The 13809-nt window shown below is 45.2% G+C and overlaps 1 protein-coding gene across 23 annotated transcripts in view, besides 1 other annotated feature; it reads left to right on the top strand.

Moving 5' to 3' along the window:
* MAP7D2 (MAP7 domain containing 2) overlaps positions 1-13809 on the top strand; it is a 110195-nt gene that overhangs the window by 51106 nt on the left and 45280 nt on the right. For 8 of the 23 annotated variants that reach the window (XM_005274478.4, XM_006724482.3, XM_006724481.3 and 5 more), the window contains exons 2-6: positions 997-1074; positions 2225-2388; positions 9011-9122; positions 9970-10068; positions 12814-12924. In XM_005274478.4, coding sequence (XP_005274535.1) covers positions 997-1074; positions 2225-2388; positions 9011-9122; positions 9970-10068; positions 12814-12924 — 564 coding nt within the window. The remainder of the gene's footprint in view (positions 1-996; positions 1075-2224; positions 2389-9010; positions 9123-9969; positions 10069-12813; positions 12925-13809) is intronic. The other 15 variants (XM_005274480.4, NM_152780.4, NM_001168465.2 and 12 more) reach the window with 3 other exon arrangements.
* Positions 4040-4089: an enhancer, noted in NCBI's record as "active region_29477". NCBI's record gives its function as "activates an Ori minimal core promoter by ATAC-STARR-seq in GM12878 lymphoblastoid cells {active_cell/tissue: GM12878}" and the evidence as "EXISTENCE:reporter gene assay evidence [ECO:0000049][PMID:35858748]".

Raw genomic sequence — 13809 nt, 5'->3', positions numbered from 1 at the left:
AAGCCCTTTAGGGTTCTGCAGGGGTTGGTTGGAGATGAAAAGCTCCAGGGATATTTCTCAGACATTTTCGGGGAAGTTGTCATTTGTTCCATCTTATTTGTTGTAGATATTTGGATGATTCTAAGATACTAAGATTGACATTGGCACAAACTTGGCAGAACCAAAATTGAACTTGAGTGTTGTCTTTCATAGTGCTCACCCAAGGAGCTCATACGTTGGCTCCTTTCAGAAAGTAGGCCGGGCATGGTGGCTCACACCTGTAATCCCAGCACTTTGGGAGGCCAAGGTGGGCGAATCATCTGAGGTCAGGAGTTTGAGACTAGCCTGGCCAACATGATGAAACCCCATCTCTACTAAAAATACAAAAATTAGCCATGCGTGGTTGCACGCACCTGTAATCCCAGCTACTCGAGAGGCTGAGGCAGGAGAATCGCTTGAACCTGGGAGGCAGAGGTTGCAGTGAGCCAAGGTCGCGCCACCGCATTCCAGCCCAGGCGACAGAGTGAGACTCTGTCTCAAAAAAAAAAAAAAAAAAAAGTAAAATGTTCAGTGTCTGTGTAATGAGCAGTATTCAAAATTTTGTCCATTTTTGTGCTTCTCCTCTCCCCCAGGTGGTCCTGCTTCAGGCTTGGGAGCCTGACTAGACGAGGCCTAGTGGGCTTCTCTGCACACTGCCAGGCCCGTCTGTCACTTACTGTACTTTCTGACCCCTTGTCTGCCTGGGGGCAAAGGATTAAGGAAGGGGCTTTGTCCTCTGGGGCTGATGTTGGCCCAACTACAGGACAGCTTGGCAGGTGCATGCGAAAGTGGTAGCTGCTGCCCCTCAGCTGTGTGTGTCATGGAGAGTGACAGATTGGACTTCCTTTGGTTGAAGTGATGGAGATGGATGATGTGCACGTGCAGTCAGACTCGGGTGCCATGCCCAGTTGCCTATAGTACTTAGCAGATAGGGAAAGAGTGAAGAACTGAAACATAATCTAGTTTTCTCCTTTGTAGGCATGGAGGGATTTTTGAAATCAGATGAGAGGCAGAGATTGGCCAAAGAAAGACGAGAAGAAAGAGAAAAATGTCTGGGTAAGTTATGCACTTTGGCTATTTTGGTCCAAGGGAGTGGAGATATGGTGGTGTCTTTTCTGAAGATTCTTAGAAATTTGTGAATGAATGGGAACTAGGACAGTTGCTAGATGAACATGAAGAATCAGGCGTGAACCTACACTGCAACTGGCATGTTCACAAATAGGTAATTTTCAGAATAGTTCACTCGGCAAACATTGAACCTCTGCTGTGTTCTAGCCACTGTGTTAGGGTCTGCAGTTACGATATTGAAGAAAGAGAAACAGTCGCTGCCCCTGATCTAAGGAAGTCCTAACACCTTCAAGTGTCAACTGTGTACACTCCCTCAGGTTCTCTCTTGGGAATCTAAAAGGGCCATCCTCAGGAGAACTGAGAAAATCAGCACTTGAGTCATTTTATATTTTAGGACAGAGAGCCCTGGTTGAGAAAGGCCGTCTTGCCTCTTGCAGGCTGTAGACAGATTAGTGCAGAGTGTTCTTCACAGGATGCTGAGGGAGATAGCGTTTCCCCATTGCATTGAGACAAATGAGGAGCTTTCAGGTTCTTCTCTTCTTCACTGCCTCCTGCTGGTCGGTACAAGCATTGCCTCCTCCAGGGAACCCTTCCCTGCCTTGGCTAGGTGGAATTAAGGGCCCCTTAGTAAATGCCTTGAGGGTAAGGCAAATTTTGTTCGTGTGTTTTACCCCCTGACTTAGCTCAGTGTCTGGTGCTTGGTGCACACACAGTTAAACTGCTTTTGAATGAACATAGCCTTATAAGCATCATTGCTCAACCTAGCATATAGTTTAGCCATTATGCACAAGTTTGACTTAATGACAGCCGTCATAGTCATAGCTCCCACGTGGGGAGGCACTTACTGTGAACTTCACGGTCATCATCTTGTTCAATCTTAACAACACTGTGATGTGGCAAACATGACTGTCCCCACATCGTAGAGGAGGAAACCGAGGCAGAGAGATGATCTAGCTAACATGCTTAGGGTTACCCAGCTAGTGGCAGAGGTACCAGAACCCTTTATCTCAATCACTGCATGCTAGGATCCTACCAGGCTCTTTTTAGGGCTCTGCTCTTGCTTCCTTGTTTTTGGTCTTAATCCAAACTGCATGGGATGCTCTGGTAATGACACCTCTCTTCTACTTTCCTTCCCCAGCTGCTCGGGAGCAACAGATCCTGGAGAAACAGAAAAGAGCCAGGCTGCAGTACGAAAAGCAAATGGAGGAGCGATGGCGAAAACTGGAAGAGCAGCGGCAGCGGGAGGACCAAAAGAGAGCTGCTGTGGAAGAGAAAAGGAAACAGAAGCTCCGGGAGGAGGAGGTAAGGCCCAGGTGCACCCTCCGCCACCTTCCAGCCCCCTCAGCAGGCTGCTCAGAGTGCCTGGGCATCCTGCCCAGCTCTGGGGTAGGAGAGAGACCTGCCGTGCACCTTCTCCTTGGTGGCTCCCATGCCTTCTTTCAGCAACATGACATGAAACTCGAAGCAGCACTGACATAGAACCGCAGAGACTTATCCATTCAACTCAGGTGTTAATTTGCTGTGTGATCTTGGGCAAACTGGTTGGCTTCTCTGGGCCTTGATTTGTGTGTCTGTGAAGTGAGGGTTGGATTTGGCAGTCTCCAATGCCTCTTTTAGTCATAACCTTTTCTGACTCTAAGACTCAAAGGGTCCCTGGTGGTCTAGTAGATAGGGGAAAAAAAAAAAGACTCAGAGGAGATTGTGGGTAGCGGCTGGGTGAGGTGAATCTGAGGATTACAGATGGGAGTTCATGCCTCCAGGGCAGGCACAAGGCCAGAACAAGAGCTTGTGAGGTTGAGAACAATGTGATCCTGTCAGTTGCTACTGGCAAATTAGTCTACCCTCAAATACCAAGATGCTAATATATTTAAAGTTTAATGTAGTTCTTCGCTTTAATTGCTCTTTCCAGTTACCTTTTAAAAAAGAAATGGCACATAATTACCCCTACAGAGTTCTTTATTACTAAATTTTGAAAATATATTTAGAAAGCATATTTGGATTATAGATTTTCTTCACGATTATATTTTTAGGAGGTAATAAAAACCTTATGTCAGTTGATGATAATTTTTTATTCATAAGGTATAATGATTCATCTTTTAGTATGAACAATATAGAGGTTTGGTAATCTCCAACCCTATAGGATATGAAGATGTTTGTACAAATTCAGTATTTTTTAAAATCTCTGAACAGTTGCTTATCACTATATATATTTACCCCTTCCTTCTTTTTTTTTTAAAGAACACATACGAAAACACACACATAGTCAGACCCATCTTTGCCCAAGAAGCACCCTTTCATGGTGATTTCTTTCCTCCTCTTAGAAAATGAGGTCTAAGCCAGTGTCTTAGCTATGGTTCACCGTTATTGGCTGCAGTCTGATTGCTGTGCCTTCATCTGCTCCCAGTTCAAATGTCAGCTCCAATGCCAGCTCTACCACTGAGCAGCTGGTGGCCAGGGGCAAGTCACATGCCCCTCTAACTCTGTCTCCTTAGCCCAAAACAGAGGTAGTTACAGGAATTAAAAGAGGTGACTTTTGTAAAAGTGCCCAGCAAAGCACCTAGCACAGAGTAATCGTTCAGGAATGTTACATTCTGTTTAGTTACTTCAGCTGAGCTTGGCTAAAGCAAGGTCAAGAGGGTGCTACCCACAAAAGCTTATGAAACAGAGTCAGTAGATGGGAAAAAGCCACAGTATAATAGGCTGTTTTGGTAACTTGGGACAGATTTCTCCTTTCCTAACTTCTGTGTTAAGAGTTGCTGGACTCACCCATTTTCTTCCCATCCTCCATTCCTTGATGACTTAGAGCTTGTCCTCTTCTTCCATGATCTCTCCATTTTGAAAGCTTGTCACTGCTGCTTCCAGGAAGGGGTACTGTGAAGTCACATAAGACACTTCCCATGCTCTGACATATGCATTGTCACTGGGGGCTGCTTTTGAGGCAATTTCTGTTTATAATTTTTCTCTACAGAACATTAGTGCTGGAGGCATGTTAAATTAAGTAGAACAGCTCCCCCTTCTTGGAGGTGAGGGAGTTTTATGCCATATGGTTGGTCCTGATGCAGCTGAATCTTTTGTGGTTTCCCTTCTGGGTAATTTTCTATTTGTGTGCTTCCTTGCACCCCTAATGTGGTGGAGGGAAGCAGGAGGCTGCCCGACCGACCCTTGTCAGCCCAAGCTGAGCTTGGTTCCCTCTTCTCCCTGGGCACAGCAGGGCAGGGCTGAGGGCTGGGCCTCCTGTGGTTGTGTAGCAACCCAAGGAAACAGCAGCCTCCTTCTGCCACCTGCTCCTGCCCTCAGGGTCCCAGGGGACCCAGGTGTAGCTTAGGGACTTGCCACACACAGGCTGGCTTGTTAGCTACATTGGGTCGGTGCTCTGCTGGCACAGAGGCCTTTTTGGCATTCTCGTGGGTGACATTTAGGGAGAAGGGATCAGCCTGCATTACGGAAGCCCCTCTTCAAAGGAAACCCTCTGCACTGGCCCCTATGATTCAAGGGGAGCTCTGGGAGGGCTGCAGCCTGCTCAGTGCCTGGCTGTGGATGTTCTCCATTCTCTTCTCAGTGTCAGATTGAAGTCTTTTTTTTTTTTTTTTTTTTTTTGGTCATGTTCTGTCTCTGTCAGCCAGAGAAAAGCCTCTGCAGGAAGATCATTCATCCTATGCAGGCCATTTTACTTCTCTAGCCTGTTGGAAAGTGTTTGTTGCCCACCAAATCCTGCCTCTCTGGGTCTGATACTTAGGAGCTCATGAGAGGCCTGTTGACCCCACCCCAGCCCTGCCCTGGCTCTGTACCCCTATGGTTGCCATGATGTCACTCTTGATAACCCCTCATGTCTGTGCCAGGGCAGAAGTGGGTACCACCAATGGCCTGTCTCTCAGAGGTCTTAAGAGTTGGCAGAGGTCTTAAGAGTAGTCAGGCCTGTCCCAGGGAGGGGTCCCAGGGAGGGGTGGGGTGGTTCTACTGTCCACTTGACACCCTGACCTTAAACTCATTCTCTTGCTGGAGGCCACCTACTCCTTAAGTTCTTAGAACCTTCACGTGCCACACAGCTCCCAGGAACCAAGCTACCAGAACAAGTTCCTGTCACCTGTGTTAGGGCTGACAACACAGTATGCCAGCCCATTCTCAGGGCAGTATAGCTTCCTGACCAGTGGCCCTGGAAAATTGGATTTGGAAAAGCCAACTTCATGTTCCTTATGCTAAACAGAAAAGAGAAAGGCCTCTTTCTCTTTCTTTCTTTCTTTCTTTCTTTCTTTCTTTCTTTCTTTCTTTCTTTCTTTCTTTCTCTCTCTCTCTCTCTCTTTTCTTTTCTTTTCTTTTCTTTCTTTTCTGCACACATCCCTGCTGAGGACCGCTGGGGGTGTGTCCCTGCAGTGTCATCCCCAGAACACATGTAATGGGCCGGGCATGGTGGCTTATGCCTGTAATCCCAGCACTTTGGGGAGCCAAGGCAGGTGGATCACCTGAGGTCAGGAGTTCAAGACCAGCCTGGCCAACATGGTGAAAACCCATCTCTACTAAAAATACAAAAATTAGACAGACTTGGTGGTGCTCACCTGTAATCCCAGTTACTTAGGAGGCTGAGGTGAGAGAATCACTTGAACCTAGGAGGTGGAGGTTGCAGTGAGCAGAGATCGCACCACTGCACTCCAGCCTAGGTGACAAAGCAAGACTCTGTCTCAAAAAAAAAAAAAAGAACACATATAATGGCAGTTGAAAAGGCACAGCCACCCCCTACCACCCATTCCTGCCAGAGACTGCTGTCTGAGTAACAGTGTCTGGAATGTGCCCTGCTGGCAACCTTTAATACTGTTCAGCCAGTTCAGCGGGGTCACCTTGGTCGTGATTCTCCAAGTTCATCCAGACAGATCTAAAGCCAGACCTCAAGGCATCAAGTGTGAGGCTCGCTCCTTCCTTCTTTCCTTCCTTATCTCCCTTTCCTTCCTTTCTATCTTTCCTTCCTTCCTCTCTTTCCTTCCTTCTTTTTTTCCTTCCTTCTTTCCTTCCTTCCTTCCTATCTATCCTTTCTTCCTTCCTGTCTTTCTTCCTTCCTATCTTTCCTTCCTTCCTTCCTTCCTTCCTTCCTTCCACCCTTCCTTCCTTCCTTCCTTCCTTCCTTCCTTCCTTCCACCCTTCCACTAAGCCCTACCTAATAGAGGAGATTCTAGGGACGAGGATTTGCCTTGCCCTTTCCCCATCCTCTGTTGATCATCAGATGATACTCAGGAGAACCAGAACTTGGCAGGAATTGCAGTATGCAGTTCTGATATTTATTAATACTGTTTTTCTAATGTGATGGAACTTTCTCATGCTCACTTTCTGTTGCTCAGCCTTTCCTCTAACCAGTGGCTCTTGCTTGGGGGTCCCATGACCAGCAGCACCTGGGAACTTGTTAGAAATGCAGATTCTCAGCAGGCTCCACCCCAGACCTATTGACTCAGAAACTCTGGGGATAAACCCCAGGATTTTAATAATTCCTCCAGGGGATTCTCCTACCTGATCTCTCAGATTTGAGAACTATTGCTCTAAATGGTCCTGATAAGAATCTTCCTCTTTAAATTCAGATTCACTTAGCTTTGGTTAAGGACTTACTGCATACTAGTCATTATCAAATAGACTTAGAGTGATCTGGTGATGTAGGTAAGCTCATCCCCATTTTATAGGCAAGGAAACTGAAGCCCAGGACTGCAATGTTAGCTCAAGGTCACAGGGATAAAAAGTGTCAGGCAGAGGTGGGATTTGAATCCTTACCTCCTGATTCCAAATCTGAGATCCTTTCTGTTTCGTCATATGAAGGAACAAAAAGGTACACACAAACACGAGGCAATACTGACCTATTCAGGACTAACCTTAAATAAGACTTGTGCACTGGACAAGTTTTGTTTTCTATATGTATGAATCACCCCATTCTGACTTTTTGGGGTTCCATAAATCCTCTTCTCTTAGAACTTGCTTATCATCTATTTCTCATCATCTCTCCAAAAGTGGGTGATACAAAGTGAGTGTGTCTTTCTCTCAGGGACAACTGTGTTTTCATCGGCCTCCTCAAGGTCTGAAGGAATGAATCTCCAGTGGTGGGATTTGGAGCAGCTCAGTGGACTGGGGATGGATGGCAGGGGTAGTTTTTCTAGAGGCCATTGAAAAGTCCAGGGGCAGGTCTGGCTTTCAGTGAGCACTCATTCCCTTACAAGGGTGCCCCCCAGATAGCTGATCAGTGGTCAGGCTGGTTCAGTGAAGCTCACTATTCTTTCTTTTCATTGGTCCCCTAGTAGAGAAGGGACCACTTTGTGAGGTCCTTCTGGCATGTAGGAAATCTACCGTAACCCACCCAATACTTAATTCACTCTAGGATGAAAGGTTTCAACACTTCAGTTAGGTCATTGGTTAAATACTTTACGTTAAACCGTATAATGAAATACTATTCAGCCCCAATCTCGAGTGGCTGTACTTCAGGCATCACATGGCAGAGAAGTTCTCTTCCTTCCAAGCCCCAGCTTTTATCAGGCAGACTGCCAGAGTTGGCCATCATCGTTTAATGGGCCAGGGTCGTGAGGACTGGACTCTGCCAAGGCATGCATACTCACGATTGTAGAGTCTCAGGCCAAATACAAGAGCACAGTTAATAGCTAATACAAATCTAAGAGTTACAGGAGGTAAAAATCCCCCTTTCTGCTTACAGGTCCCTGGAGAGGCAGTCTCTTAGCAAAGTGCTATTCAGAGAAAAATTATGTAGAGGAGGCTGAGATGTGGAGAAGCCAGATCCTCATCTCATCCCTCTGGTATAGACAGAAGGGATAAATCCAGATACCTATTAAGTGACCTTTATATGTTTCTAGTAAGTGTGACATAAAGGAGCCTTTCCTGATCTTTAAGTCATGGTTACTCAGTTGATGATGTCCTAAATTAATTTTGCTTCTGTGTGTATTTTTTTAAGCCATGACAATTGTATCTTTTTGTTTTAGAATGGGCTATGATTAGCCCAGTTCCTGGAGCACCTCGGGGTTGGGTTTTATGAGGGCAAAAGGGTGTCATTATAACTGCTAGCTCAGGCCTTCTCCAGTGGAGATAGGGAGAGGAGTTGGTATTTGCAGTGTCACGGAGGTGGTGGGGAGTGCAGAATTAGAGCACCTTCACTGCAGCAGCAAGGACAACTTTATGAAAGTAACAATTTGGGTAATACAGGAGAGTGTTTTTGATAAATACTGTTACGAGAGAAGCCGAAGCCTAATGGTTGTTTTTCTCTTCTGGTTAAAAATTACTGGGTTCTGCCTCCCTGCCTCCTCCACCTAAGTAACTCTGGGAACGCATGGATGCTTTTTTTTTTGTGGCCAGAAGGTTCTTTACTCTTGCCTCTTGAAAATTTTGAAATATGCAATATTATCCCAGATTACTATATAGCAGAAAAGCGTCACACTATGTAAAACAGTTGGTTCCCCTTTAAGAAGTTCTAAGATGAAAATGCAGCTTTGCAAAATAGATCTCAGTGTCATGTATCACCCCAAAAACTCAAATTATATTTGCATTAAAATTTTCTCAAAGCAAAATGTTTTATGCTTTTAACTAGAAAGGATGCTCTTGGTTCTGGAGCAGAATTCCAGCTCTCCTGGTTAGGGCAAAATGCCTTGAGATAGGCCTCAAGGAGTTAATGCTTATTGGGCATTATTCCTAGGGCAGCTTCTCCCCAGGGAGGGGAGGGGACAGGACACACGGTGTTTAGGTTGAGAGCCAGTGCTAGCCTAGCCGCATTGTTTACTCTCCACCTACTCAGAACACGCTGGTGTGGCAGAGAGAGCACGTATGCCTGGGTTTTGGATGCTGAGCACAGAAAGCCCCATTTGGTGACTCACACTGTGCACTGAGGCAGCAGGTAGTGTGGTGGGGCTGGGTAGTTAATCTTGTTAACACTTGCCTTACACGAACTGTGTAGGAACGGCTGGAGGCGATGATGCGCCGGTCCCTGGAGCGCACACAGCAGCTGGAGCTGAAAAAGAAGTATTCGTGGGGAGCACCACTGGCCATTGGACCCGGAGGACATGATGGTGAGTGTAGGGTTGCCCCTGTATTTCAGGTCCTGGGTGGGAAATAATGGAGCAGGCAGGGGATTATGGGCACCACTGGGTGTCTCCAGGATCTGGGGGATGCTTTGCACAGCTTTTCAGAGGCACCACTTTCAGATGTGATGTTTAAAACTGCCAAGATTCCTACGCATGCATTTGTTATGAAGGGGATCTGTGCATTCTTCTTGATAGCAAACAGCAGTTGACACAAAAACTGGGTTTTGAGGGAGAGCAAAAGAGAAGACTTTGAACGCAGAGCCCAGTGAGCTGGGCCCAGCTGGCAAGCCCAGGGTTGTTCTGACTTCAGGGGAGGGAAACGGCAGGAGGCTCTGTCACTGGTCCAGATGCGATCAGGAAAAGCACAGTGGCAGTTATCCTCCAAAAAGGGCTGGACTATTTCCTGCTGCATTTTAAATTTTTGTTGCTTTTTCGACTTTGTTTCAAGGTGACTTATTTCATTACCAGTTCAAACTCATCTTTAAATTTTCAAATGTGTAATTTAATATATGGATTGTTACTAGTCTCTGGATGGCTTTTCCTTCTTTTCAGTGTCTCACTACATTTCAGCGATCTTAGCATTCTATTATGCAGGAGGTGTGTACTAGCTCTATCTGAGAGCAAATGGATTTGTGTTTACAGGACAGTTCTTGACTTTGCTGTATTGTGCTTTTCACCTTTGGGCAGTAAATATACTTTATTTTTTCTTTTTTGAAAAGTCAACAACCCATTTCAGTTACTTTTTCTAATTTCCTAATTAGAAACTAAGAAGCAACAAGAAATTGGGACTTTTTTCTTTTACCTCTCTTTGCTCTGATTTTTTGCTGTGTAGGTGAATCAGAAAATACCCCACCCCCTCCTCTAGGTTTAGCAGCCAGCACCCTCCCTCCGGATGCAGGGACCACTGCCGCAGCTGCCGAGTCCACCAACGGTATATCCGAGCATCACTGTGCCATAGCATTTTGTGATAACTGTTCTGATCATCCTCCCCCATCACCATGTCTGCGTCAAGCACTTTTACAATTGGTTTCTTAGTCTGGCCTGTCACAATTTTTTTTTCCTAGCAATGTGAATGACATGCCCATATTTCTTTGTTCCTCTGTCATTATAGAGCGGTGCATGCCTTACATCTTAGTGCCCCGGAGACATTTCATCCTCAACTCACTAACGTCTGCCTTGAAAATCTTGTCAGTGTTGGATTTTTGCACACTCAGATCTTTAACAATCTCTTCATCATCTGTTGTAGACATTAAGAAGCAGGGCATTTCTGATTACTTCTGGTTACCAAAACCTGTAATCACCCGGAGTTCTGAATGGAGAACTTGGGCTTAGTGTTAAAGTGATAGATTCCTGGAGAGGTGTTTGAGAGGGAGTGGTAGGAATTTTATCAGTGCTAACACTGGTAATCCAAATAATTAGATAATTTGGCTTTGTGCTTGATTTTATTTAATAGGCTGTCTGTTTTGTATACAGGCCTGGGAAACTCCTCTGGTCTAGATCAAGAACAGAACTAGCCAAACTTTGTTTCCATTTAATAATGACTTTAGAAATTCAATCCATCTTCAACTGGCAAAGAAAAAAAAAAAAAGCTGTAAAAGGGATGCAATATTTACCAACAATGCGGAAGGTCATATTAGCAGTAGGAATCAATATCCTTGGTTTCTGACATTCCTTTGACAATGAATAATCCTTACTGGGGGTGCTTCGTAACAGCAGTTTTGCTGCACAAGCAGAGTTACCTCTAGTGTGGGCACTGGCTTTCCCCCTAAGAAAGGTGCAGGGGGGCTGGGCGTGGTGGCTTGTGCCTGTAATCCCAGCACTTTGGGAGGCTGAGGCAGGCGGATTGCTTGATGTCAGTAGTTCGAGACCAGCCTGGCCAACATGGTAAAACCCCGCCTCTACTAAAAATACAAAAATTAGTCAAGTGTGGTGGCGGGTGCCTGGAGCCCCAGCTACTCAGGAGGCTGAGGCAAGAGAATTGCTTGAACCCGGGAGGCAGAGGTTGCAGTGAGATCGTACCAGTGCCCTCCAGCCTGGGCAACGGAGCAAGACTCTGTCTTGAAAAAAAAAGAAAAAAGAAAGGTGCAGAGAGGTGGAGTAATCACCCACTGGGAATCAGCACCCAGGGCCCGGGCCAGGGTGAAATGAGTGCAGTACTTGACTAGAGCATACAATTTAAGGGAGTGCCAAAAATCTCAGTAATAAAGATAAAATAATATCTTAATGTGATATTTTTTAAAATCCAAATTAATGCAAAACAATCCATAATAAACAACAAATTTCTAAAGACTGGTGCCATGCTGAGCACATCAGAGCCTGAAGCAAAAGGGAAAATGTGTACTCCTATATACGTGGTTTTATGTAATTTCTAATGTTTAGTTTTATCAAAACATTAAAGTAGTTTAAAATATGGAAAAATTGAAAAGAGTATTAAAACTCATATAATTTCAACTTTAAATAGTTTTATTTCTACACAAATCAAATTTATTGTACTTTTACTTCAGCTTTAGTTAATTAAAAATTACCGGGCCAGGTGCAGTGGCTCACGCCTGTAATCCCAGCACTTTGGGAGGCTGAGGCAGATCACGAGGTCAAGAGATCGAGACCATCCTGGCCAACATGGTGAAACACTGTCTCTACTAAAAATACAAAAATTAGCTGGGCGTGGTGGCATGCACCTGTAGTCCCAGCTACTCAGGAGGTTGAGGCAGGAGAATCACTTGAACCCGGGAGGCGGAGGTTGCAGTGAGCCGAGATCGTGCCACTGCACTCTAGCCTGGGAGACAGAGCAAGACTCTGTCTCAAAAAAAAAATTATTTAAGATTGTCATTTGGTCAGCAGAAATTATAGAACATCGCAGTTCTTATGGCAGTTCTCATGGGAAAACACGATGAGCAGAGGAGTAGATTTTGAAAATATTATTGATGAGTTTGCTTTTTTACAACCAAGAGCACACATTTTTCTTTTGGCCTCAGGCTCTAACTTAGCTTGGCAGGGCACTGTCAGCATCTCTTTGTTTGCCGTCTGAAATAATGACTGGAACGTAAGAACACCAAACTCAGGGTCGCCTGTTAAAATGCTAACCTCAAACAGTTAAAGCATTTGCAAAAGGACCATTTTGATCTGTCTCTTACTAAGTAAGAAAAGGAAAACCAACTGCTAAAGAGGCCGTTCTGCTTTAAATACAACTCTGAGAGGACGGATTTCATCTCTCTCCAACCTGAGCTACAGATAACCTTCATAAAAGAGTCGGTTTCAGCAAGCGGTGACAGTCAGACCATAGGGCGTTTTCCAGTGGTGATTTGTCTCTGGGTCCAAGTTGGTTTTGTTTTTGTGTGATGTGAGCATGCTCAAAAATCCCTAGACAAAAGAAAATGATTTGTTGGTGGGATTAACACGGCTTCAGTTGAACAGTTGAGTGAGGTTGAACATTTGAAATTGAAGATGACAACACAGTGAAGAAGTTGCAGAGATTTTGCTGCAGACCAAGGGCTGCTGTAGCCTGGTCATTTCTAGAGTAGGATAATGAGATGCCAGGATGATGAAAGCAGAGCATGCTGTGCCACAGCATTTAGGAGGTGCGTGGATGAGGACAGGAAGGACACTTCGGGATATGTGTTTCTTGGTTCTACAGTAGTGTGATGAATACCAATGTCTTTAATGCATTTCTCTGCAGCATGTGACAAACTTTCAACATCAACTATGAGTTTGCCAAAGCCAACGGAGCCTCCCATGAATAAACGCCTGTCTTCATCCACCGTGGCAATATCCTATTCCCCAGACCGAGGCAAGTGAACATGTAGACTTGGTCTCTCTAGTTTGTTTCTTTTCTGGTGTGAGCATCTTAACGTTTGTCTTTGTGAGAGTCTCCTCTTGAGCCTTCTGCAGATACCGTCATTGTCCTAGTCTTGTGGTCTGAATGTGGGAGCTCTAGGGCCTTGTCAGTGGGACTTTGGAACGTGGCACGGCTCTTTAGAGCCAGGTCGTTGTTGAATAGAGGTAGGAATTAATGCAGTCTCCCAGTCTGAAAGAGACTGTTCTGTTTTCCACATTGCATGTAGGAGTTATCCTGCCCAGGAATTAATTAACCAGTGGGCAGATGTGACCATTAAAGTAACTGCCTGGTCAATGATGGAATACAGTTGATTAGCCAGAAAGAGCAGAATTGATAAGTTATAGTTATATGGGAGGCTTAGATATGTGAAAAAATGGGGTTCTGCAGTCATCTGTGGTTTATAGGCCTGCCCATTTTGTAGATGAAAAGAGAAGCACAGAACTAATGAGGCCTCTAAAAGAGGAAAAGGTTGGGTGGCGCTCTGTTTTGAGTTAGGAGATGATGTGTATGGGACGTGTGCCAGTTCCAGAACCTGAGTAGATTTAACAGGGTCTGCATTCTCACAAAGGCTCAGATAAGTCACTGAAAGTCTGTTTATACCTTTCAGAGTATACAGGTTAAGGAAATGACGGAAGCTCTCCATGCACTAAATGTTTATTCTAAAGCAACATTGAAGAAGTATCAGGTGCCAGTGGAGTGTTTAGCACAAGTTATCACCAAGGGCAGAGCAAAAGGCTGGTTGCGACTTGGCAGAGGCTGGTGTGCCTTCCTGGTTGTTTCCACTGACATTGACCTTGTACCTCTATCCCAGAGGCATATTATGTGTGTCAGAGACCC

The sequence above is a fragment of the Homo sapiens genome, chromosome X, assembly GCF_000001405.40.
Source record: "Homo sapiens chromosome X, GRCh38.p14 Primary Assembly".
NCBI classification, from domain to species: domain Eukaryota; kingdom Metazoa; phylum Chordata; class Mammalia; order Primates; family Hominidae; genus Homo; species Homo sapiens.
Note: the sequence above shows the minus strand (reverse complement) of the source record. Positions and strands in the feature narration are given on the sequence as shown.